Raw genomic sequence first — 27,797 nt, forward strand, 5'->3', positions numbered from 1 at the left:
TTAATTTTCTCAAAACAGACAAACAAACAAGCCAGGCATTCATAAAAGGCATTTTATGATGTGGTAGACTTTATAGAAGTTTGGGGCTACATTAGGGGTTAACTTCACAGCAACACTAACAGTTATAAATATTAGATGCCTCTACACATAAAAGTCACTTAGTCACACAAGCATGAGGCCCAGCTTCTCTCACTCAAGACTTTCTCACCTTCGTATTTCCCTTACTTCATTAAGCAGAATAATTGAGCTCAGTACCTTCCACTCAGCTCTAGGGCTTACCTTTGTATAAATGTGCCCTGATAAAGCACAGCCACCTATGACTTATTTCTATCCGTGTCTTAAATGGAAAGTAGCAACATGATAATTTACCTTCTCACTGATATCGCTAGTACTCATTGAAAGGTAGTCATTAGTGCTGTCCCTGATATATGTCTGATTTCCCTTCCTTCTGAGCACATGAGTGGGTTGTACCTCCCGGCCCTTTTGTGATTAGATGGAATGGTGTAACTAGTATTGAAAAATGAGTAGTGAGCTATACATGTCACTTTTGAGCAGGAGCATTTAATTGTCAGTATGAGAACCTCTTCCCTCTGGCAGGAAGGCAGCAGTGTTTGTGATGCTGGGTGCCTCAGTGTACCTGGGTGACTATGTAAAGGAAATACCTCTGCTGACCCCTGGTAGACATGGTTGAATAAGTAAAAAATAAGCCATTTTGCTATTAGGTGATGGATATCTTAGAATCCTTTGTTATCACAACAAAAAAAAAACCTATTAATAAATGACTTTACTCACTATTACTCTGCAGTTATACAAAGAGGACACCTTCAGTTTCTGTAATGTATTTGATCTTCCTCAAAGCTCCCACTGTGTTAGGTAGTAAAAATAAAACGTTAAAAAAAATTAAAAACCCTGCCACCTGATGATATCTAGTTCATTTAAGTTTAACTAATTTTTTGTTTGTTTGTTTGTTTAGTTTCTTTTGGGTGCATTCATAGACTGCAGAATTTCCTCTAGCATCATGGTTGTGAGGGATTGAGGGCCCCAAATCTACTCCAGCAGTAAATCTGCTCTCTGGATCCTTGCTAGCTCCTGCAGAGATGATATTTCATATCTGCCTGTTCAGTGCCTCCTGCTGTCAAGGGACCACAAGATGAGCAATCTCTTGGGAGCAGCAAACTCTAGTGAGCTCAGCCCTTTCCCTTAAGGCCTCTCTGTGGATTCTCCTAAGGTCTGGGCAGGAATCCAATTTAGTTATTGCCCAGGTTGTCTCCCTGCAATCCTCAATTTAAGAATTATTTTGCATTGATAAAAGTAGGCTCACTTCTCTCTCAAACTCCCAAACCAATGACTTCAATACATTTCACACCATTTGGAATATATAAGAGATTCTAGGCTATCTCTCTATCTAAACACTTGACACCTCTGTTTCTGTTTTTGTTTTTTCTTATGTGGTCACCCATGGTTATAGCAGGATCATTCTTCAAGGTAGTCTCCTCTGAGAGTCTCAAATGTGAGTAGGGCAAAGATACCTTCATTTTTGCTTTTATTTCAATATAGGGTAATGTATATCCTATTTCTGGGGCTTAGGTTTGCAGAGAGAAGTTAAGGTATAGGTGTAGTGTGATGTTTTCCCCAATTTCAGACTGTTCCTCCTGCAGTCAATTAGGTCTGGGAAGAGTGATCATTCCACATTTACTCCTTGTCTGATCCTTTTAATAAACAGCACTGTTCCTCTTCTTTAAGACTGAAATGGTAGAAAGTTTATTTGGGAATCATGTTTATAAAGATAAAGAGCATATTATTATAAGATTAATATCATCACTATTACATTAATCATGTAGTTATACTTGTGAGGCCAAAGAAAGTAGTCTTTTTAAATAACATAGATGAATATTTTATGAAAACTATCATCAGAAAATACCGCTAGGCTTCCCAGAGGACTGGAACCAAAAACTGCAAAACCATTAGAAATCACATTGGTCTTTTCTCTCTTATTCACATCTTAGTCCCTCATCTCGCCTTCCCTGATAATTTATTTAATTTTCATTTTGTTTTGTTTTCTTTCTGCAAACTTGATTTTCAGTCTTCATCATACATATTGCCCTAAAACCCACCCCCATACCATAACCACCTTAACTCCCAAGTTGATAGCAGTAAAAGTCAAATGACCAACTCAGGCTGAATAAAATTTCGGAATCAAAGCTTCAAATTTTAGTGACACAAATTCTCCTTGGTCTTTCTTAGGTCTTCTCTATACCTGCAAATAGCAAATGCATCCAGTGACATAAGTTCATTGAGCATAATCATGATTTCTACACTTCAGTCTCATAAATAAGGAGAGAAAACTCTCAAATTAAGAAATGCATCATTTAGAGACCAGATTGTAGCCAAAAACAATAATAACTATAATTATTGCAGCAGCTACCATTAAATAGTCCTTATTTCTCTCCTACATGCAAATAGGATGCCTTGATCAAATGGCTTGGGTGTTGGAGACACTATATTAGTGTGTCTGTACCACAAACTTTAGGGGAGAAATGACTTGGAAAATTGCTGAACAGGTAATACAGGACAACCATAATCAATTAAAATCACTTCTCAAGGACAAAAATACCAGAGGAAATTGGCTTAGAGGGCCATTTTGTTCTTTCTCTTTCCATCACTGTAATAATTTGTCACCGCCATCTATACAAGGCTCCTCTAAGCTGCCAAATGAAAATTGACCTTCATGTTTCTAATTATTGACCAAGGCACATACTCAGTGTTAGACTTTAGGTTCATTTCCAGGTTGTCTATTAAAATGTAGCCATCTTCATATCTTTAACTAGTCATTGAGATAGTTGATTTTATTCAGTTAATTTTACCAATATTCCCAATATTATAAATTCATTTTATTCGTTTTTCCTTCTCTTTTATTCCTATGCTAGGTTAAAATAACTGGGAAAGAGAAAATTTTTCATCTCAGACTGTCATGTTTTTATTTCTTTAACAAAAATTGAATGGGCACCTACTAAGTGGCAGGCAATTATCCAGATCATGTAGATACCATCATGAGCAAGTCAGAAAAGTTTATTTCCCTCATGGACTTTGCAGTCTAGAAAAAGGAAAATTAGATGGGTGTAGTGGCTCATGCCTCTAATGGTAGCACTTTGGGAGGCCAAGGCAGGAGGATGGCTTGAGTCCAGGAGTTTGAGACAAGCCTAGGTAACATGGTGAGACCTCTACAAAAAGTCAAAAATTGAGGTAGGAGGATCACTGCCTCAATATAAAAACAACAATAAAAAGGGCATTATAATAAACAAGCAAATACATTAACCACTTTTAAGAGGAAAATGAAGAATATATAACAAATAATGACTAGATGTTGAATGTTCTTTTAGTATGTGATGTCCAAAGAAGTCTCAATGAGGTGACGTTTCCGGGCATAAGATTAGATTAGAGAAGGAATAAATAATCATGTGGTGACCTGAACAGTAGAATACTCCAATAAGTAAAAGCACCAAAAATAGTGACATATGTGATGTTTTGTAGAAACACAAAATGGCCGGAATTACTGGCCTGTAGCAAGTAGAAGGCAAATTATAATTTAAAATGTTTCCCTGGTGAAGAGAATAAGTTAGAAAGAGGAAAAAGAAAGGAGGGAGATTTAAAAGGAGTGTATCCAGATTGAGTAACAGAGAACACAGAAATGTTGTTTGTTGAGAGAGAAATTCCATAAACCCTATAGTAACTGGGAAAGAGAAAAATCAGTTTGAGCAGTCATCAATTCCAGTGACCTATTTAGGAAATTTGTGTTCCCTGTGCCCACAAATACAGACTCCATCAGTTTAAAGGCCATAGTTCAAAAAGGGGTAAACTCTTTTTCCCAGGAGACACAATCAGAATCCCACTGAACTATATCTCATGGCTACACCTGGGCATTTGGGGTTCCTTATGCCAAGCGTTCAGCAGGAAGAAAGGGAGTCATCAACTTAACATGTATATTTGACCCTGACCAGGAGGTGGTAGAGCTGTGATACACAAGAATAGTAGGAAGGAATACTTTGGCACCTATGAAATGTTCTTCTCTACCTCTATGCATCACTCCCTTTCCCAAATGAGATGGTAAATGGACAAGAACAATCCCAAGTGAGAGGAACCTTGAGACCAAGGACTCAGATCCCTCAAAGATGAAAGTCTGTGTTGTGACACCAATAAATCATTGTGACTAGCAGGGATTATGTTGAGTGAGGGGGATCAAAATGGTTGTAGAAGGTGGAAAGAATAAGCATCAAATCCAGCCACAATAGTGGGGGTCATGGTTTGTCCTACTTACCTTCCTCTGCTAAGTTTCGCCCAGGAAGAAAGGCTTACCAGAATCTTGGAAGAGATGCTCCCAGAAGCTGTAAGAAGGAAAATTGTGGTGGAGAAGTTAATATACCTTGCAGGTCCTGCAGAATGAAGTGAATATTCCCCCATCTGCTGGAAGTCCTGCCAAAACACAGTTCTCACTGTCAGAACTCCTTGAGGATTGCCCTAAATGAAAAAATTGCCTCTCTAAGGTCACACCTCCGTCCACAGGCATTCTACACTTAATGATTGATCAGTATGAGAGTAGAGAAGGCCTGGACCCCTCAACCCAACTTAATACACATCTGAATCTCAGTTCTGTGGTCCTTGTGAAGGGTCATGAAGGTCTTTATTGGGAAAAAGTCACGGAATGAACATCTGCCTATTTCCACTTCTTATTCTCCCTTCCACAAGCCTCCATCCCAAAAATTCTTCTTAATAAAATCCCTAAATATCAATCTCCATTTCAGAATTTGCTTTTCAGAAAATCCAACTCTGTAACACCAGGTATGCAGTCAATAAAATTGATTTTACAGGCTACATTTAGCATAATGTCATCAAAGGTTTATGCCATCCCCATTTTTATCTCTGAGAAGTCAAAGAAAAATTTATTTGTTTTGTGGGTAATTGCATTACATTGGTAGAATGAATAATTACTGTTTAAGAACTTATTATCGGTAAAACTAACCTTTAAAATTGTCTGACAGTTTTAAACTTCAAAAACTATTATAATTAGTATTAAAGAGAATGCTTTCTTTCTTTGTAGTTGCTATGGGAGCAAATCCATTAATAAATATTTTTTAAATGTCTATTTTGATTTGACAAGAGGTTTCATTAATAATTCAAATGGTTATGACTAAGGTCCTAAAAAGGGCAATTTTCCTTGAAAGTTAGCTAATAAAGAAAGAATGCTAATCTAGGATTTTTTTTTCATAAAATTCTCCTCACTTCTCTCACAATCCGGCAGCAAAAAGGTAAAACTCGTAAATTTATTTCATCACTATTGGAAGTATTTTGAAGGCTCTTTGAAAATACTGTGTCTTTTTAGAGACCCAGATTCAAGACAGATATTTAAGCACTAAAAATAAATAAATAAATGAAAGTCTGAATTGAATAGTGTTTCTTAAATGCAACTGATATGGATTCAACACACAAATCCCAAAATATGAAAGCTTTTGCAGGCACTGATTTTCTTAGTAAAGTTAACTTTTACATTTACCTCTCAAATTCATTTGCATGCCAAATTCAGAAATCCTATTTGCATATTCCACTGAAGATTAACTTGCCTGCCACATGTCTGAAAAGCAGAAGGGAGAACAAATCATTAATATGATTATTAGCTTAATGTATTGTTTAAGACAACCCCCAAGAAGAATATATTAAAAACTGGAAACCTCAGCACAGATATTAGAAATAAGTGCTTCTCCTTGAATAAAAGAAAATTTGTTTAATGGCTTACTAGTTCAAGTAGCTCAGGAAAACAACCAAGGTAATTCAAATTGTGAGTAGATGTAATTTGAAGAGAACCAGAACATTAAACAAAAAATGAGTCTTGATGGTCACATTACCCCTGCTCTTTCTACATAGTACTGCATCCTAATATATTTAATATACTTGTTGGAAAATACTTTTAAACATTAATTTGTTCTGTAGTAAAATTATATTACATAAAGTGCTTTAAATGCTAAGGCTTAGTATAATTATGCAGTGCTGAGACTATTGTGATGTTATTGAAAACTAGCAAACTTATCTTCAATAAAAGAAGTCAAAAGCTTCAATTATCTACTCACAGATTATAATTGGGGTTTGTGTATATAGGCTTACAAAAAGAATTTTAACAGGAAATAAGTCCCATAAATTTGTTTAAAAATTATCAGTGTTATGCATTGCCATCTCCTCCCGTATTAGTTTCTCAGGACTTATAAGAAGTCGTGAACAATTTTGGTTACCCTCTCAAAAGCATGGGGGTGGCTTTCATAACCTTACTGGCACACTGCTACATAGATTTCAGAATCTTAAAAGAAAAAGACTATATTCACCATTTAGTTGTCCAAACCATTGATTACTTTTATCATTCAAGGAATGTATTTCTCCAACCTTTTCACCTCTCCAAATCTTATCTGATCTTCAAACCCCAGACCTATCTCTCTTGCAGAAAGCCTTCTAAATTAATACACAAATATATTCTTAAAATTGTTATTGCACTAATGTCTGTACTATATACATTAGCATTTAATAATAACCTGTTAGTCACTGTCTGATTCTCTTTCTCACTTGTGTCTAATTTTTCTCCTTGAAAATAATGTTAGTTATTTCAAGACAAATTCCATGCCTTTTATCTCTGCATACTTTGATGCATACTGGTCACAAAATAAGGGGCCAAAAATACTTGTTGATATACTGAACAATCAAAAATTTTTATTTGTGCAATAATCAAGCAAAATGCATTAAGTTAAATTTTTTCAAACTCTGAGATTTTACATCTCAATATTGAAACAAAAATCAAAAGAAGTAACCCCAATAAATTAGATAACTTAGTTTGTATTGCCAAAAAATGACTTTAAATATTACGTTTCATTAATAAGCATTAAAAATCCATTTATAAAAAATTTAACACATCTTTAAACTAAATAATAACCTGAGAATCTTTACACACAAACATTAACTTGTGATCTCTTTCTAATGGAGTTCATCAATGTTCTTAGGGATTCCAAAGCTAAGCTCAAATCTAAAAAATGTGAAATGTTACGTAAGCGCATTTAACAACATTAAGAAAAGAGAGGTGCTCTACATGTTTACGTCAAATAATACAGGCTTAAAAAGAGTATTTATCTGTTACCTTTTAAATATGTATTGGGTTATTTTTTATAGCTGTCATCTCTGAATAAAACTCACAGAACATTATTTATATCAACAATTAATAATTCTTCTGTCTCAATATCCTCAGACCTACCCAACCCTGCTTAGCTAGGGCAGTATGAGAAGAAAATTTTCTCAGAGCCTTATTTGGAATTGACAGCTTCACTTGTATTATATTCTGCCCAGTGAATTGTCAGTGTGGTTCACTGTACAGTGGCACATTTGTTAAGATAAAACTATATTTCTCAGAATTTATAAGAGTAAACTGTGGAAGTCTTTTGAGATGGAAGAAAAGCAGATGATATTACTGTCTGAAGGTCATCATGGTTAGATAGAGTGACAAACAGACTCAGGGCTGCCTGCATGTTCCAGCTTGTCCTCACTCTCCTCTGTTCTTCAGACAGCTCTTATCCTGGACTGCTAGCCTATTGACCAAGAACATAGGAAAGCCCACCATCAAATGTTCAGTAGTGTAACAACATTAGCTTCCCACAGGTCGTCCTAAATCCGTGAAGACACATACTTGGCTTCTCAGATTGACTGGTCAATGACAACTGTGACCATCTAATTCCCACTTTCAGAGCTTCACTTCTGAGTTCTTTCCTCTACTATTGAAGTTTTAATTTCTCTTATTTCCTGTGGCAGATTGTATTTTCTAAAGATAACCATAAAAATATTTCTCATACTACATGATCTTCTTCCAATATGACTTTGACAATGACACTCCTCCCAAAGTTCTGGGATCTATTACTCTTCCTAGGCTATTGAATCTGGGAAAGCATTTATGACAGCCCCAAGCAATAGACTGTGATTGTGTTGATGCTATATGATTTCTGAGGCATATCTTTAGGTTGCCTTATATTTCCACCTTGCTTTTTTGGAATGCTCACTCTTCAAGCACACACTATGCAGTCCATGATGCAGATTCACTGTGGACTGGTTAGCAACTTGTCTAAGTTCAGTGAGACAGAACACCCACACACACAAGTTACCTGAAGCAGGTTTATTATTTTTACACATAGGCAGCAAGGGACAACACAAGCCTAGGACTGATTGTGAGCCATTCCTTCAAGGCTCAGGAAAGCTGCCTGGGGAGGCCATATCTGCACATGTCCCCCTTGCATTGCAGCTGAGGGACCCTGGAAAGCAGCCTGCCCCGGATTTTCTACCTCAGGTGTCACATGACACAATAGGCTAAAACACTGAAGGATGTCCTATTTCTAGGGGGCACTGGAATAATGCTCAAGTTGTTATAGCCAGTACCTCCTTATCTCAGAATGTTGCATTCCCATCACATTTTACAGCTATTCTTGAAAACTACAAGCAAAAAAGGGGCAGAACTTGGTCAGTTCACGGTCACCCAGAACTGCCCTGCACTGTGATGAAGCCCAAGCATATTATGCAGAAGGCTACATGGAGAGGAACTAAGGTCTTTGCCTAAAGCCCTATGTAAGCTCCCAGTTGAGAGCCAGTGCTAACTTGTAGCCAGGTCAGTGAGCCAGCTTTTTTAAAGTATGTCCTACAATCTCTATTGAGTCACCCTAGCTGACTTCACATAAAAATTATACGTAAAGAGCCATCTACATTAAGCCCTCCCAAATTGAAGAATCATGAGAAGGGAAAAAAAAGTTTGTTATTGTTTAAGCCACTCAGTTTGGGTGCTTTGTTAAACAGTAATAGGTAATAGGTAGTAGGCACAGATTTTGGTATTGGGAAAATAAATTTCCAGGAAGAACATTGAAAGTGCCAACTGTATTCCCACTGCCTAGGATAAAATGTAAAAGAAAAGAGATGAGCTAAACAATAAGTTGTGAAATATAGTGGAACTGAGGCTTGGTGGGTTAAAAACTGAAATTCTTCCTTATTTTTAGCCTTTGCAGATAGCAAACAATTCTAAAATTAGGAAATGAATTCTGGCAAAAGACCAAATTTATAGGGCGAGATGTTTTAATATCTGTTTTAAAGATCTTTGGTGCTTCATGTTACCCTCCTGATAGTTAAAGGGCTCCTAAAGACCTTAAAAATATTCCTTAAAATTTATCTCTGTTAAACAATAAGGCTTCAGAGAATCTCACAGGGAGCCTAAGTTAAAGATAATGTAAAAGTTATATTAAATATTTAATACTTAGTACATATTAAATATTATTTAATATATTAAATAAATAATATTTAATATGTACTAAGTATTAAATATTTAATATAAAAAATATTGGATGTGGCTTTCATTTAATGGGTTAAATCTAATAAGATTCATGGAAAACATACTAAACTATTAAGAGAATTGTAATGGTAAAATTGTTGCCAGCTTGAAAAAAAGGAAATAGAGAAAAAAATTAAAAAATGTTTTTAACCCCCAGACATTTACAAGTAAATATCAGTTTAAAAAGAATACTCAGTTACAAAAGAAGCCCTTTTTATTGAAAAGAAAGAATGACTCAGTAGTGAATTCAAGATCTCAAGAGTTAGAGATAATAGCCATAGGAAGTAATTCTCACAGTAGCAATATAAAGCCAACCTAGATTTCAGAACTCTTATGAACTAGTCACTGCTATGTGCTTCTCATCTTTCCCTTTTATCAGTGGGAGTGTCTATTGTGGTTGTCCTGTGCCTGTCTACGTTATATGTTAGGAATGTAGGAGGATAACTTGGTATCATTTGTTCACAGTGCTTCAAATGGAGAATAATAATATTCAACAAGCTGTATCTACAGAACTATACCTGATAATGCTAATCTAAACATGGACCTGAGTTTTGTAAAGAGAGTCTAGGCTTTGAACTGATGACCTAATGAGATATAACTTGGTTATTAGAAGAAAAGATACATGAATTTCTTAGGTAAGAACAATGTGGATTGTTGTGCCTAAAGGTCAATTATGAAAGATTAAAAACGAAAATTCTTCTTGCATTCCCCAAAAAATAAAAAGTCCTCAATAATATCTCCCATCCCACACACTCTGCTTACAATATGGCATCAATACTTCTATTCAGGGGTAGTATTTACATCCTCCCCCCTTGAATGTAGGAAGACATAGGATTTTGTGACTGCTTTAATAATGCAGTATGACAAAAGTTATGATGTGTAACTCTTGAGGTTAAATTTTTAAAATGCTATGGACTTCTGCTTTCTCCTCTTGTGATAATTTACACTTTTTCTTTGAATTAAGTAACTATGGTGAGCAGAAGACAAAGCATAATGTATAAATGACAGAAGAAAATAAACTTAAGACCCAGTCTCCCAAATAAAAGCCAGCAACAATTTGTCTGCCATGCAAGTAAATCATCCTGAAAGACTTTTTCACTCTCAATCCACTGTAAATGATATCCCATGAATTAGAGACAAAATATCCTCTGTGACTCTTACCTAAAATGCATCTCATGAGGAAAATAACAGATTGTTGTTTTACATCACTAAATTCTGGGGTGATTAGTTATATAGCAGTAGATTGCCAATAGTTTTCTTATCCCATAACTCAATTGACCCTGATTAACACAACCACTCTCAATAATTAAAGTGGGTTTTTTTTCAAAGTAACAATATTTTAGGTAAAACAATAATTGTCCTGGCCAGAACTTCCAATACAATTTGAAAATGAGTGGTGAGAGAGGGCATCTTTGTCTTGTTCTGGTTTTCAAAAGGAATGCTTCCAGCTTTTGCCCATTCAATATAATATTGACTATGGGTTTGTCATAAATCTTATTATTTTGAGATATGTTCCATCAACACCTAGTTTATTGAGAGTTTTTAACATGAAGTTATGTTGAATTTTGTCAAAGGCCTTTTCTGCATCTGTTGAGATAATCATGTGGTTTTTGTCTTTGGTTCTGTTTAATGTGATGGATTACATTTACTGATTTGCATATGTAGAACCAGCCTTGCATCCCAGGGATGAAGTCGATTTGATCATGGTGGATAAGTTTTTTGATGTGCTGCTGGACTTGGTTTGCCATTATTTTATTGAGGATTTTTGTGTCGATGTTCATCAGGGATATTGGCCTGAAGGTTTCTTTTTTTGTTGTTTCTCTACCAGGCTTTGGTATCAGAATGATGCTGGCTTCATAAAATGAGTTAGGGAGGAGTGCCTCTTTTCAATTGTTTGGAATAGTTTCAGAAGGAATGGTACCAGCTCCTCTTTGTACCTCTGGTAGAATTCAGCTGTTAATCCATCTGCTCCTGGACGTTTTTTGGTTGGTAGGCTATTAATTACTGCCTCAATTTCAGAACTTGTTATTGGTGTATTCAGGGATTCAACTTCTTTTGTTTAGTCTTGGGAGGGTGTATGTGTGCAGGAATTTATCAATTTCTTCTAGATTTTCTAGCTTATTTGTGTAGAGACATTTGTAGTATTTTCTGATAGTAGTTTGCCTTTCTGTGGGGTCAGAGGTGATATTCCCTTTATCATTTGTTATTGTGTCTATTTGATTTTTCTCTCTTTTCTTCTTTATTAGTCTAGCTAGCAGTCTATCTATTTTGTTAATTTTTTCTAAAAAACAGCTCCCGGATTCAATGACTTTTTGGAGGGTTTTTCATGTCTCTATCTCCTTCCATTGTACTCTGATCTTAGTGGTTCCTTGTCTTCCGATAGCTTTTGGATTAGTTTGCTCTTGCATCTCTAGCTCTCTTAATTGTGATGTTAGCGTGCTGATTTGAATTATTTCTACCTTTCTGATGTGGGAATGTAGTGCTATAAATGTCCCTCTTAACACTGCTTTAGCTGTGTCCCAGAGATTCCAGTATGTTTTCTCCTTGTTCTCATTGTTTTCAAAGAACTTCTTGATTTCTGCCTTAATTTCATTATTTACCCAGGAGTCATTCAGGAGCAGGTTGTTCAATTTACATGTAATTGTGTGGTTTTGAGTGAGTTTCTTTTTTTTTTTTTTAAACATAATCCTGATGTTTATTTATCAAATGTCAATCAGTGGAATCTTTGACTGGCTTTTAAAATAAGGGCAGTTTCATCACACTGGCATACTTGGCAAACCAGGTAAGTACAGAAACCCTTTTCAAGATTTAAAAAATGGAGCAACACTGGTCAGCATTTGGTACCGTGAATATAATACACCTACTGAAAATCTTCCCATACATCATGAAAACTTGGAGGTAATTTGTATGGCTTGAAATGTCTTCATTTTAGAATATTATGCACAAAAGGGCCTCTTCAGGAACAGAAAAGTGGCATTTTCTGTGTTTCAACTACAATTTAGAACCCAACTGGCTTTTATGTTATATTAAGTAAATTATACTTCAAGTTCCAGAGTATGTGGGGCATAAAATCCTGATTCAAGTTTTATATGACACAAAATTCTAGTAAATACTCCTCTTAATATATGGCTTATCAATATTCTCAGAGTCAGTCTAATCATCCAAGAAAAAGTGGTTTCCACTCTTCTTTTGTTCTACATCCTTAATTGAATTAAGTTTGTTTATTCGTGGCCTATAGTTGTTTGGATCTCTTCTGAATGTAATTTCAAGCTGAGATAAAAATTTATTCATGCCAGCCAAAAGGGTTTGAGGACTGTTTGCAACTGTGTTCTTAGATGGAACACCATCAAAAACGATGACGCGATCCGCTAGATAGGTGGCCATGATGAAGTCATGTTCCACAACAAAGGCTGTCTTTTTTCTTGGAGTATGAAACGTTTGACAACTCGAGCTGCCATCAGTCTTTGCTCAGAATCCAAACATGCAGATGGTTCATCAATTAAATAGACATCAGCAGGTTTGCCCAAACAAAGGGCTAAAGCTACTCACTGTAGTTCACCACCAGATAATGTCTGCACCTCTTGATCAGTGATGTTTTCAATTTGCAGAGGCTTCATTACATCGGTCACAAATTGTGGGTGAGTATAAGCATCTCTTATCTTTTCATGTAGTAACTGGCGAACACTTCCAGTTGATTTGCGACTAATTTTCTGTGGCTTATAACTGACATTTAGAACTGGTACTTCTCCTCCTTCCTCAGGTTTAAGTCTTCCAGCAAGCATTCTGATAAATGTCGTTTTACCTGTTCCATTTTCCCCCAGCATCACCATAATTTCAGAATCTGTAAACTCTCTAGCTACAATTGCTAGCTCAAACTCTCCCATTTTTTTCTTCATTCCTGGATATTTATACATACACATCTTTTTAACTTCTCTTCATTTGCAAGGGGACAGTGGGATCTATTTTGGACCGAAAAGATGAAACAAAGACACAGGCAGTTGTATGTCAGCAGCTTGATTTAATCCACCTGAAAGAACGAAATGTTGAAGATCTTTCAGGAGGAGAGTTGCAGAGATTTGCTTGTGCTGTCATTTGCATACAGAAAGCTGATATTTTCATGTTTGATGAGGCTTCTGGTTACCTAGATGTCAAGCAGCGTTTAAAGCCTGCTATTACTATACGATCTCTAATAAATCCAGATAGATATATCATTGTGGTGGAACATGATCTAAGTGTATTAGACTATCTCTCCGACTTCATCTGCTGTTTATATGGTGTACCAAGCGCCTATGGAGTTGTCACTATGCCTTTTAGTGTAAGAGAAGCCATAAACATTTTTTTGGATGGCTATGTTCCAACAGAAAACTTGAGATTCAGAGATGCATCACTTGTTTTTAAAGTGGTTGAGTGAGTTTCTTAATCCTGAGTTCCAATTAGATTGCACTGGGGCCTGATAGACTGTTTATTACAATTTCAGTTCTTTTGCATTTTCTGAGGAGTGTTTTACTTCCAATCATATGATTGATTTTAGAATAAGCATCATATGGCACTGAGAAGAATGTATATTCTGTTGATTTGTGGTGGAGAGTTCTGTGTATGTCTATTAGGTCCACTCCAGAGCTGAGTTCTAGTCCTGAAAATCCTTGTTGATTTTCTGTCTCATTGATCTGTCAAATGTTGACAGTGGGGTGTTAAAATCTCCCATTATTATTGTGTGAGAGTCTAAGTCTCTTTGTAGGTCTCTAAGAACTTGTTTTATGAATCTGGGTGCTCCTGTATTGGGTGCATATATATTTAGGATAGTTAGCTCTTCTTGTTTTCTTTACCATTATTTAATACCTTCTTTGCCTTTTTTGATCTTTGTTGGTTTAAAGTCTGTTTTGTCAGAGACTAGGATTGAAACGCCTGCTTTTTTTTTTTTGCTTTCCATTTTCTTGGTAAATTTTCCTCCATCCCTTTATTTTGAGCCTATGTGTGTCTTTGCTCATGAGATGGGTCTCCTGAATATAGCACACCAAAGGGTCTTGACCCTTTATCCAATTTGCCAGTCTGTGTCTTTTAATTGAAGCATTTAGCCCATTTACATTTAAGATTAGTATTGTTATTTGTGAATTTTTTCCTGTCATCATGATGCTATCTGGTTATTTTGCACACTAGTGGATGCAGTTTCTTCATGGTGTCATTGGTCTTTATATTTTGGTGTGCTTTTGCAGTGGCTGTACCAGGTTTTCCTTTCCATATTTAGTACTTCTTTCAGAGGCTCTTGCAGGGCAGGCCTGGTAGTAACAAAATCCCTCAGCATTTGCTTGTATGAAAAGGATTTTATTTCTCCTTTGCTTATGAAGCTTAGTTTGGCTGGATATGAAATTCTGGGTTCACAATGCTTTTCTTTAAGAATGTTGAAAGGAGTATAAATCATGCTGCTATAAAGACACATTCACACATATGTTTATTGCAGCACTATTCACAATAGCAAAGACTTGGAGCCAACCCAAATGTCCCTCAATGATGGACTGGATTAAGAAAATGTGGCACACATACACCACGGAATACTATGCAGCCATAGAAAAGGATGAGTTCATGTCCTTTGTAGGGACATGGATGAAGCTGGAAATGATCATTCTCAGCAAACTATCGCAAGGACAGAAAACCAAACACCACATGCTCTCACTCATAGGTAGGAATTGAACAATGAGAACACTTGGACACAGGGTGGGGAGCATCACACACCGGGGCCTGTCGTGGGGTGGGGGGAGGGGGGAGAGATAGCACTAGGAGATATACCTAATGTAAATGACGAGTTAATGGGTGCAGCACACCAACATGGCACATGTATACATATGTAACAAAGCTGCAAGTTGTGCACATGTACCCTAGAACTTAAAATATAATAAAAAATGAAATAAAATGGCAAATAAAGGATTTGCTCTTAAAGTTTCTGAAAAAAATACAAATAAATAAAGTTTATAGCTCAAAGAAAAAATTCTGTTCTTTTGAAACTGCATTAAGAATGAAAGAGGAGACATTAAAATCTGACAAGACTTTATTTTCTTAATTGAACATTTCAAATCCAGGACCAACAAGTTACTGTGAGCTGTTGATTACTTACTTAACTGTGAATAAACTTTACAGTTAAATGTCACAAATGGACAAAGTGTAGGCAACTTGAAAACACAATCCAGTTCTCCTGGCCTTATCTTATATTTGGATCCTTTCACCTTCTCAAAGTCATTCATCAGGAGACTGGCAAAGAGCCCTGTCATCTCAAATTCCCAGTGTTTACTTATAAACACAGGAAGTTCAAATTTCTTAGAATTAAGCCTAATGCAGAACCTGCCTTCCGTGGAATGAATTCTGCAAGTTTGTAAAGAACCTACATGAAAAATACCTGAAAGAACATGTACACCAATGAATATCTTACTGAATCAGATCCCACTAAGAACCCAGAGTCATTCAGACATTATGTGTAAAATCTTTTTATCTGCCTGTGAAGAAAGCTCTGCTAAACAAATTAATACCATGCAGATAAGAATTCTAGAGAGATATTTAAGGGATTCAATAGTTCCAGAACTGACCAACTGTTTCAAGCCCTTTTCTGGGACCTGTGTTGTTAATTGGTGCAGTGTGATTTCAGGATAATTGTCCTCACATGCTAGGTGGCTATTGTCTGCAAGTAATCTGAATGCCTTTAAAAAACAAAACAATGCAAATATGTATTGTTCCATGCCTATACTCTAAGTGACCTGTATAGCACCATTTATCAAGTCTTAGCCAAAACCCCATAAATGGAAGACTGAGGGGTCTACGGGTAGGGCAGTTGCTGGAGAAGACCTTCTCCCCAGTTATATGAGCCTGAAAATAAAGCTCCTCTTTTTGCTGGAAAAAAAAAAAGAATGTTGAATATTGGCCCTCAATATCTTCTGGCTTGTGGAGTTTCTGTTGAGAGGTCCACTGTGAGTCTGATCAGCTTCCCTTTGTAGGTGACCTGACCTTTCTCTCTGGCTGCCCCTAATATTTTTTCCTTCATTTCAACCTTGGAGAATCTGACGATTATGTGTCTTGGGGTTGAGCTTCTCATGGAGTATCTTATTGGTGTTCTCTGTATTTCCTAAATGTGCATGTTGGCCTGCCTTGCTAGGTTGGGGAAGTTCTCCTGGTTAATGTCCTGAAGTGTGTTTTCCAGCTTGTTTCTGTTCTCCCTGTCTCCTTCAGGTACTCCAGTGAATTATAGATTTGTTTTTGTTTTTTTTTACAAAGTCCCATATTTCTTGGAGGCTTTGTTCATTCCTTTTCATTCTTTTTTCTCTAATCTTATCTGCATGCCTTATTTCAGCAAGGTGGTCTTCAAACTCTGATATCCTTTCTTTTGCTTGGTCGATTTGGCTATTGATAATTGTGTATGCTTCACAAAGTTCTCGTGCTGTGTTTTTCAGCTCCTTTAGGTCATTTATGTTCCTCTCTAAACTGATTATTCTAGTTAGCAGCTCCTTTAACCTTTTATCAAGGTTCTTAGCTTCTTTGCATTGGGTTAGAACATGGTCCTTTAGCTCAGTGGTGTTTTTTATTACCCATTTTCTGAAGCCTACTTCTGTCAATTCGTCCATCTCATCCTCTGTCCAGTTCTGCACCCTTGCTGGAGAGGTGTTGTGATCATTAGGAGGAGAAGGGGCACTCTGGCCTTTTGGGTTTTCAGCATTGTTGTTGTTGTTGTTGATTCTTTCTCATCTTCATGAGTTTGTCTAGTTTTGATCTTTGAGGCTGCTGAACCGTGGATGTGGTTTTTGTGGGGACTATTTTATTGTTGTTGTTGCTTTCTGTTTGTTTGTTTTTCTTCATTGGTCAAGTCCCTCTTCCGTAGGGCTGCTACAGTTTGCTAGGGGTTCACTTCAGGCCCTATTCATCTGGTTTGCTCCCTCGCCTGGAGATTTCACTCAAAGAGACTGGAGAACAGCAAAGATGCATGCCTGCTCCTTCTTCTGGGATCTCTGACCTCGAGGGGCACCAACCTGATGCCAGTAGGATTGCTCTTGTACAGGGTGTCTGACAACCCCAGTTGGAGGATCTCACCCAGTTGGGTGGCACAGGGAACAGGACCAGTTTCATGAAGCACTTTGATTGTCCCTTGGTGGAGGGGGTGTGGTTTGCTGGGGGAAAAGCTACTTGCCTGGGCTGCCCAGGTTTCTCAGAACTACCAGGAGGAAAGGCTAAGTCCGCCTGTCCACAGATACTGTGGCCACCCCTCCCCCTGTGGGCTCAGGCTCAGGGAAATCCAGGTTCTGTCCCTGAGACCCTAGCTGAAGTTGTTGGAGTTCCTGCTGGGAAGCCCCACCCAGTGAGGAATAATGGGTCAGGGTCAGTTCTGGAGAGGCACTCTGGCTGCAGTCTGTCACAGCTGGTGTGTTGGGCTGTGGGGGACACCTCTTGGGACCAAGCTGTCCAGCCTCCCTGGCTGCAGCAGGGGAAAAGCACAGACTGGAGCTATAGAGATGGATGCCGCCCTTCCCCTACCCAGGGAGCTTAGCCTGTTAGGCAGTTGTGAGTCCCAGTGCTGGCTGCTGCCCTCACACAAGGGGCTCAAAGGGCTTCCACAGCAGGCAGCAGCAGCTGTGGTGCTGGTTGCCCCTCACCCAGGAGCTAGGCAGACTTAAGCAGCTTTCATCTAAGAGGCTGTTGAGAATCTTTGCAGCTCTGGGGTTGAGATCCTAGGCACCAGTGGTGTGGGTTCATGAGTGGGATCTTCCAATCCATGAGTTGCACAGATCCATGGAAAAAGCATGGTTTCCTCAGCTGGGTAGCACACTCACTCACCACCTCCTTTGGCTGGAGGGGTGGGGGTTCCCCTGCCCCATGTGGCTCTCAGGTGGGCCGCAACACCACTCTGTTCTTCCTTCCTCTCTGTGGATCACTCCAGCCGCCTAGTCAGTTCTGATGAGAGAACCCAGATACCTTGGTTGCCAGTGAAGGATTCACATGCTAATTATGGTTCTTTTTGATGGGAGCCTCCGAATGCCACTGTTTCTAGTTGGCCATCTTGGCCCCACACCCTGTTTTCCTTTTTGATGTAGTTATTTACAGCTATACATTTTTCTCTAAGCACTACCTTGCCTGCATTTTATTAATTTTAATTCATAGTGTTTTCATTTTCACTCAGCTCAAAATATTTTCTAATTCCTCTTTTGATATCTTCTTTGACCCATTGGTTATTTAATAGTGTGTTATATAGTTTCCATATATTAGAGTTTTCTTAAATTTCTTTCTGTTAATATTCTCCAGTTTTACTACATTATAATGAGAGAACATACTTTGTATGATTTTAGTACTTTTAATTATTGAAACTTGTTTATGGCCTAACATATGGTGGGGAATTTTTCATGTACACTTGAGAAGAATGTGTATTTCACCATCATGGGCGGAGTGTTCTAGAAATGTCCGTTAGATCTAGTACGTGTGTAGTGTTGCTCAAGTCTTCTATTTCCTGGTGGATTTTCTGCCTAGTTGTTCTGTCCATTATTGAAAGTATAGCATTAAATTTCCACTATTATTATTAAATTGTCTATTTTTTTGCACTTGTTGCTGTCCATATTTTGCAGCTTTGTTTTTAGGTGCATATATGCTTATAACTGTTATAGCTTACTCATGAATTGGCACTTCTACTCCTCTTTATCTTTAGTAACTTTTTTTTTGTTTTAAAGTCTAGTTGTGTTTCTTTTTTTTTTTTTTTTCCTGATATTACTGTAGCCACTCCATCTTTCTTAGGGCTGCTGTTTGCAAAATGTATTGCTTTCTGTCCTTTTGCTTTGAATCTATTCGTATCTTTGAATCTTTAGGGCATCTCTTGTAGATAGCATATATGAATAATGTTTTCTAAATCCAGTCTAATATCTTCTGCCTTATGATTGTTTATTCTATTCACATCTAATATCATTAATGATATAGTTGGACTTATGCCTGCCATTTTACTTTTTGTTTTCCATATGTCTCATGTATTTTTGTTCCCCATCCCTCTTTACTTGTTTCTTTTGCATTAAGGGAATATTTTCTAGTCAAACATTTTAAGTTTTCTAATTATTTATTCACTTGATAGTTTTGAGTTGCCTTTTTAGTGGTTGCTTTAGAATTTACAATATGTATGTTATCTGATTTTACTTCAGATTTATACTAACTTAATTCCAGTGAGATATAGAAACAATATTTTTATGTAGCTCTATTCTCTCATCCCTCTTTTTGTGCCATTATTGTTGTACATATTGCATTTATAATGTTACAAATCTAATAATACATTGTTATAGTTATTACTTTACATAATTACTGTATATGTTAAAAGCTGAAAAAGAGCAACTACATATTTAGTTCTTTTACTTTTTGCTTTCCATATGTCTCAAGTATTTTTGTTTTCCCATTCCTCTTTAGTTGTTTTTTTTTTTTTCCCCTTGAGACAAAGTCTCACTCTGTTGCCCAAGCTGTGCAACAGAGTGAGTGCACACAGTGCAGTGGCACAACCTTGACTAACGGCAACCTCTGCCTCATGGGCTCAAGCAGTCCCCCCACTTCAGCCTCCTGAGTAGCTGGGACCACAGGCACGTGCCACCATGCCAGGCTAATTTTTGTATTTTTGTAGAGATTTGGTTTTAACATGTTGCCAGGCTGGTCTTGAACTCCTGGGCACAGTGATTCACCTACCTTAGCCTCCCCGACAGCTGGGATTACAGGCATGAGCCACCACATTCAGTCTATAGATTTTTTTAAATTATACTTTAAGTTCTGGGATACATGTACAGAACATGCAGGTTTGTTACATAGATATACACGTGCCATGGTAGTTTATTGCACCCATCAACCCGTCATCTACATTAGGTATTTCTCCTAATGCTATCCCTCCCCTAGCCTCCCACACACTGACAGGCCCCAGTTTGTGATGTTCCCCTCCCTGTGTCTATGTGTTCTCATTGTTCACCTCCCACTTATGAGTGAGAATATGTGGTGTTTGGTTTTCTGTTCCTGTGTTAGTTTGCTGAGAATGATGGTTCCCAGCTTCATTCATGTCCCTGCAAAGGACATGAATTCATCCTTTTATATGGCTGCATAGTATTCCATGCTGTATGTTTTCTATATCATTTCTGTTCTTCTTATTTTTTCCTATGGATTCAAGTTACCATATGGTATCATTTTTCTACTCCAATACAACTTTGCTCCCACCCACCCACTTGGTGTTGCTTTTATTAAATATATTATATTTCTACATGTTATAAGCTGAAAACAAAGTATATATATACTGTTATATACAATTTTTTTATATCAGCTGAGAGATGAAAAAGGAAATATGTATTTATATTATCTTTTGCAATTACATAATTATCTATACTGATGGTCTGGCTTTTGAGTAGATATGAATTTGCATATGGGTTTATTTGCTTTCAGTTTTCAAAAAATAGTAATTTTTAAAGTGGATTTGTTAGACATTAATTATCCCAGTTTTATTTATCTAGGAATGTCTTTGGTTTGGCCTGAATTTGGAAAGATAGTTTTTCTAGATATAAGATCCTTGGTTGAGAATATTTTTTATGAAGTTTGACTGCCATCTCACTGCATTCTGGCCATTGTTTCTTATAATGACTCAACTGTAAATTTTATTGTGGTCCACTATGTAAGTTGTTTTTCTCTTGATGCCTTTAACATTTTCTCTTTGTTTTGACTTTGAGCCTTTTTACTCATATTTCTAACTGTGGATCTCTTTGCATATATCCTACTTGGAGTTTGTTGAAATTCTTGGATATGTAAAATGTTTTTCAGCAAATCTGGGAAATGTTAGGAGTTTTTAAAAAATTTTTTTGCTCTTTGTTCCTATTTTTCTTCGAGTATTTCCATTATGCATGTATTAATTCATTTAATGAGTCTCACATTTCTCTTAAGGTCGGTTAATTTTATTTTCCCTCTGTTATTTAGATTGCATAATCTCTTGATCTATTTTCAAGTTCACTAATTCTTTCTCTCGTCAATTCACATCTTCTGTTTAACCCTTTGATGAATTTTCTTATTTCATGTATTGTACTTTTAAACTCATAATTTCAACTTAGTTCTTGCTTTTTTAAAATTTTCTAGTTCCTAATTTATATTATTTTTTAATAAGACATTGCCTTCATACCCTTCTTTCTCTAAGCATAGTTCCATTAGTCCTCTGAACATGTTAAGAGTGGTTATTTTGAAATCTTCTTCTGTTGAATTTGTCATATCATCCTTCTCATAGTTTCTGTAGCCAGCTTTTTCCTATATGTTTCACAATTTTCTGTCTTTTTGCTTGTCTCATAATTTTTTGTTGAAAACTGTACAGTTTAAGTCATATATTGCAGCAATTCTGAATACTGATTTGCCTCTCTCCTCTCTGGGTTTGTGGTTGTTTACTAGTATTTGTTTTGTGACTTAGTTATCATCTTTCAGTGAGGTCTATTTCTCCCATGCTATGAAGCCTTTGGTGTCACTCCTTATAGGGCATATTATTGGGCTTGTATATGGCCATCTGTGATTACAGTAGTAGTAGCAGGGATGTCTTTTGATCTTTCTTTTCTTAATTTCTCTGTTAAACTCTCTACCTCATTTGGCATCACAGCTAAAAGTTAGTCTCTGCTGTTTACTGGCTGGTCGCTTTATTATTTTCAATAGTGTCTGATAACAAATTTCTCAGCAGTATGATTCAACTACATTTATGCAGGGGTAATTTTTGACACCAATTTAAGGTTTGTCCTGATCCCAGGAGATCTCTTCTCAACTGACTAATTTTCTTTTTATCTGTTGAACTATCTGGCGTATAATTTAACTTGTTGTTCTTAAAGAACATTTGAGAGCACCCTTAGGCTTGAACTTCCTCACACTCTGTTTCAAATAAAGTCAGCTCTAGGGAAAGATTCAGAGCTATTTTTTAGTGATTGTTTTACCCCCTGATCAAAATTCTAAGCCACTGCTCTCGAAAGTTGGTGTAGCAAAATTTTTTGTCTTTCGTGGATTGCCTCGTCGGGATGGAACTTCTTCCCTATAAGAAAGTTGAGATGAATATACTCAGGAACACAGGATTCTCATCCTATTATGCCTAGGACAGAACCTCCATTCTACAGGTAGGCGATTGGTGTAGGAAGGGAGCCCCTAACTTCCAGAGAATACTTACGAGGAATTTAACTTTTTCAACTCGGAAGTTAGAGGGCATAATAAATGCTGTTGGCCTGTTCCTTCCGATGAGGTATGCTAACCCATAATTGGGAGATAGAGAGAAGCCCATCTTTTCAGCCACACCCTGTCAAGTGGAGCTTCCATCAGGCTGAGCAGGAAGGGTGAAAGGAGGAAGTGGATGTTTATTCCAATGCCACAGATCGTTGCTGCTCTTATCACATTTAGTGGATTGTCTTGAATAAACATTTCTTAATTTGCTCTATGCTCTTAGAACTATTTTAAGAGAATATAGTTATTTCTAGAACAGTTTTCTCCAGCTTTGCTGGTTTTACTGGAGAGTAGGTCTGTGGAATGCCTCACATTTTTGCCTCACTTGCCACATTACACACCTGCTCCCACTTTGCCTTCCATCATGAGTAAAAGCTTCCTGAAGCCTTATCAGAAACTGAGCAGCTGCTGCTGCCAGGCTTGTACAGCCTGCAGAACCGTGAGCCAAATAATAAACTCTCTCTCTCTTTCCATATATATATATACACATATATATATTCTTTTCTGGATATATACATATGTGTGTGTGTGTATATATATACATATGTGTGTGTATATATATATACACATACACATATATATGTGTGTGTATATATACACACACATAAATATGTATATGCATATACACATGTATATGTATATGTGTATATGTATAGACACATGTACATGTATATGTATATATGTATATACACACATACATATATGTGTATATATACACACATGTATATATCCAGTTTAAGTATTATTTGTAGCAATGCAAAATGGACTAATACACTTCGCAAGAGAGAAGACTGATTAGTTTGTCCCTATCATGTGGGTAGTGTGGAGATTTTACATAATGACTTCACCAAACAGTTCTAGTTTATAATAAACTGCAACTACAATGATTTTCTGAAAATAATCATTGCATATAGACATAATATATATTCACTACTTGCCTACAGTCAATTCTTTTACGTATATAATGAAGATAAAACATTGATACTTAAAGCGGGAGAATGAAGAAACAGTCATTTACAGTTTGGTCATCAATTTTACTCCATTATCTGTATCTCAACTTTTTGGTCCAAATCATAGTTTGTGCGTATTTAATTATTTTCATTGAATGGGAAAACACAGCTTTCATCAAAATCCACTTTTATGTCGAACTTCTCTTTGAACCAGAAAGAATTTTCTTATGCTTGATACAAATTACTCTTGCTCAAATTTAAATGAATTTCCTTTGTTCTGTTTTTAGCAGTCAGATCAAGCACTATATTGCAGAATGAAAGTAACACAAAATATTACTATTATTTCTCAAATATGTCATAGTCACTTTAAATTCTTTTTTTTCCTCTCAGATTTTTAGCCATTTTTCTCATCATGAGGTCACTGCAATTCTAATAAGAGATACAGAGAAACCCTCAAAATTATTCTTAAAAAGAGTCTTTAACAAAACTATATACTAATGGGTTGCTTGGACTGTATTTTTAAGTTGTATATTGCATATAATAGAAAAATTATCTCCATACCTCACACAAGACAGGGAAATAACTATAGGGTTATATCCTTTGCATAATTGATTTCTAAATGTTAGAAATGTTATGATTATGTCACTAAGTAATTTGCAAATCAATGGCTCCTAAGGGTCTTGTATCCTTTGGAAAAAGCTATATTTAACAGTTCGTTTATATTGTATTTTCCTAAATGCAAAATATCTACAGTGCTGCTAGAACACCTGGCTTTAGGGTCATCCAGTGAAACTAATTTGAAACATATCTTAGAAATGTTTACTTTTCCAACTACATTATGTGAAAAATAGTGTATCTATGCTTTTATGTAGATATATGACCACACTATTTTTACATGTGCATTAGTACTAGATGAGAAATGTCTGAATTGTCTATATGTCAAATCCCAAGTGATTTACAGGAAGAACACCTGATACTGTACCTAACACAAGGGTTCTCCTTAACCCTTGCCATGATGGCCATAGAATCTTTCTCCAATTCTATGCTAAAGCCTTTCTACTACACAGTTAGACCAACTTATCAATTACAGAAGTTTCATCTAGGCAGATAAAACTCTCAATGTATTCTAAAATTTCAACAGGGCCTTGAAAATTAGAATAATTCTTAAGTCTCAATAGTTCTAAGTCCCCAGAACTGAACATTATAGAAATCTGTAAGTGAAGATTGCCAGTCACATAAGATCATGATTTATTCTTTCATGCATTCATAAATGCAATAAAAGATTTGCTGAAAGCTAACTACATGCTAGGTGACATAAGACAAATATCATTTAATATCTTCAAGACACTTAATATAGGTTTGTGTATATTTATAAACTAATAAGGGTAATAAGTATCATGATTGCTTTAATAAAAATCTGATTAAGGTAATAGAGTATAAAGAGAATCCTAAACAATTCACGGGGTGGCAAATGAGAGGACACAAACAGAAAAAAAGCTACTGAACGTAGACACATAAACATATATTGATCTTACCCATTTGGGTAAACACAGGATTATACTGCAGCTGGAGAGGAATTTAAGAGAGAGAACAGCAGGTAGGAGAAAGGTTTCATATGCTGTAGCATGCCTAATGGCAATGAGAGCAAGTAATAAACTTTGAGCTGGTTATTGAAAATATCAGTATTGAATTTAGGATAATTACATTAGCAATAGTATAAGTGATGAATTGGAATTGGAGACAGAGGGGATTGAAGGTAAGACTGTAATCAGAGAAACCAGTTTGGAGAGCAATTTAGAAATATTCAGAGACAATTAACTGACCTCATTAAGAGTTTAAGAAAGCAAGAACAACTGGACTTAGTAGTCCCATGTTTGCGGGCGAGAGAATGAAGAGGAGGTATATTAAAAATATGTAATTTAGAAAACTTGATAAGAAATAATATTAGTTGTTGAATAGCAGAAATAACCTTTTAGTTTTAGTCCCAGATTTCATTAATTCAGCTAAGGCCTTTTATTATCAAGCACTGTACTAGGTGTTGGAGATAAAAAGATGAATAAACAAGTCCAAACCCAGCCATTAAGGAATTGAACATGTAAACATAAAACAAATATGAAAACAACTAAATGAAACACTGTACAAGCATTTTAGTGGAATAACCACATTGCACAATACAAACACATAGAGGAAAGGGGAAAGAGGAGGAAGTAAATGCAGGCAGGTTTAAACTGAGGGAGGTAAGCAGACCCAAATGAGATGAAGAGGTATGAGTTATATTATAGAAATTCTTACATTATAATGTTAAAAAAATTGGACTCTAACCTGTAATTATATATCCATGGGAGAGTTTTAAGCATGCCAGGATATGAATATTAGAAAGATTAATTAAAATATTATTTGAGTGGTGTGTTTGTTAGGCCATTTTTGTACTGTTATAAAGAAATACCTAAGGCTGAGTAATTTATAAGATAAGATGTTTAATTGGCTTACAGTTTTGTAGGCTTTACAGGAAGCATGGTGCTGGCATCTGCTTCTGGTGAGGGCCTCAGGAAACTTACTCATGGCAGAAGGTGATAAGAGAGAAAAGGGCAAGGTGACATACTTTTTTAAACAACCATGTCTCATGAGAACTCACTCACTATTGCTAGGACAGCACTAAGGGGATGGTGTTAAACGATTCATGAGAAATCTACCCCAGTGAATCCAATCACTGCCCAACAGGCCCTAGCACCAACACTGGGGGTTACTTCTCAACATGAGATTTGAAGAAGACATCCAAAATATATCAGGTGAAATTATAGAAAACATAATTTCAAGAAAATTGAAGGGTAAGCATGACATAGGAGGCTACCACAATTTTGAGTCAAATATCTGAATTAAACAAATGGCTGGAGGGAAAAGAAATAGAGATGAGATAGGGGGCAGTGGTTCAGAAAATATAATTGATTCGTTACACATTGTAAGGGAAAGCATCCTATTGGATAAGCCATCCTACTGGATAAAGGATTCTATTGGATAAAGTTTATGATTATAGGACTGTTTTGATGGTCGTATGGTCAACTAGAATAAGGAATTCTAAAGAAGAAAAGGTTATTAGGTTAATTTGTGGTCAGTACAGTGAAAATATAATTCAATTTCTTTCCATGCCTGTGCCTATTCATTGAAATGTAACTTTCCGTAGTCCATTAAGTGGGCAGGATAATCGACATCCTAACTATAAATAATTGGACAAAATCTACAATCCTGACCAGAGATGGATTAGTCATAATCCTTTCCCTGAAATTGTAAGAAGAAGACAACTGCCTTTGATTGACTAAACTGGGCTTGAAACAATTCTACTCCTAGATATGTTCCTAACCAAAATTCATGCACATGGGCACCAAAAGGCATGTACTAGTGTCAATTCCAGTATTAGCTGTAATAGCTTCAAACAAGAAATAACCCATCGAATATTCATCCAAAGTCAAATGATGACTGTATTGTAAATTCCTCACACAAGGGAATAATATGCAGCCTTAAAGAACTACAGCTAAATCTAGCAATATTGATCAATCTCAAAGACACTTTGTTGGTTTAGTAAACCAACCTAAATCAATTTATAAATTCCAAGAAATCCAATTCAAAACTTTAATTGTGTTTTTGAGTGATTTAGTTTAAAATGTATATGGCATAAAAATGTATTCAAACATATAAGTTAACCTACAAGAAAGAAAGAGATGCTATTATTATATTAAGTTATAGCAGTCATTAATGCTGTTTACTGAACATTTATTTTCATGCTGTGATCACATGTTAGGATGTAACTTCCTGGATTTTTGTTTTGGATGATAAATTATAAGCCAAACTTAGATATGTCACTTCTGGACTGAAGCATTCATTTAATTATCAGCATGAAAACTTCTAGTCTGTTCTTCCCTCTGGCTTGTGAATGGCCTCACACAGTTTCAGGTTTCAGTAAAAACCACTGTTCCTGAGTTACTAAGACAATTGGAGTATCTTGCAGACCTTCAGTGGATCTGCAGCATGAGTGAAAAGTAAGCCTCTCGTTCTAAGCCACTGATGTTTTCAAGTTGTTTATTACCACAGCATAACATAGCCTGCTCTGACTTATTGAAAAGCCATTGGTGCAAAAAAAGACTAATGGACCAATAGAATAAAATGGTTAGTTCACAGACATATATATATACAAACACTCTATGAACAGGGTACACTACAAATCTAGAAGAAAAGAATTGTTTGGTGTGGGAAAACTG

General features: G+C 36.3%; 1 long non-coding RNA gene and 1 pseudogene across 1 annotated transcript, besides 1 other annotated feature; both read right to left on the reverse strand.

Annotated features, from left to right (window-relative positions):
• Nucleotides 1-2,048: 2,048 nt before the first annotated feature.
• Nucleotides 2,049-5,627, reverse strand: LOC105371662 (uncharacterized). The gene is made up of 3 exons (XR_001738346.1): nucleotides 5,549-5,627; nucleotides 4,316-4,382; nucleotides 2,049-2,257 (listed from the first exon to the last, which is right to left on the reverse strand). It is a non-coding gene; the product is annotated as an uncharacterized LOC105371662 (long non-coding RNA).
• Nucleotides 5,628-12,344: 6,717 nt separating this feature from the next.
• ABCE1P2 (ABCE1 pseudogene 2) lies at nucleotides 12,345-13,331 on the reverse strand (annotated as a pseudogene).
• Nucleotides 17,137-17,638: an enhancer, noted in NCBI's record as "H3K27ac hESC enhancer chr1:192220431-192220932 (GRCh37/hg19 assembly coordinates)". NCBI's record gives its function as "activates a minimal SCP1, AML or CMV promoter by ChIP-STARR-seq in primed H9 embryonic stem cells {active_cell/tissue: H9 hESC(primed)}" and the evidence as "EXISTENCE:reporter gene assay evidence [ECO:0000049][PMID:30033119]".

The sequence above is a fragment of the Homo sapiens genome, chromosome 1, assembly GCF_000001405.40.
Source record: "Homo sapiens chromosome 1, GRCh38.p14 Primary Assembly".
In the NCBI taxonomy this organism is placed as follows: Eukaryota; Metazoa; Chordata; class Mammalia; order Primates; family Hominidae; genus Homo; species Homo sapiens.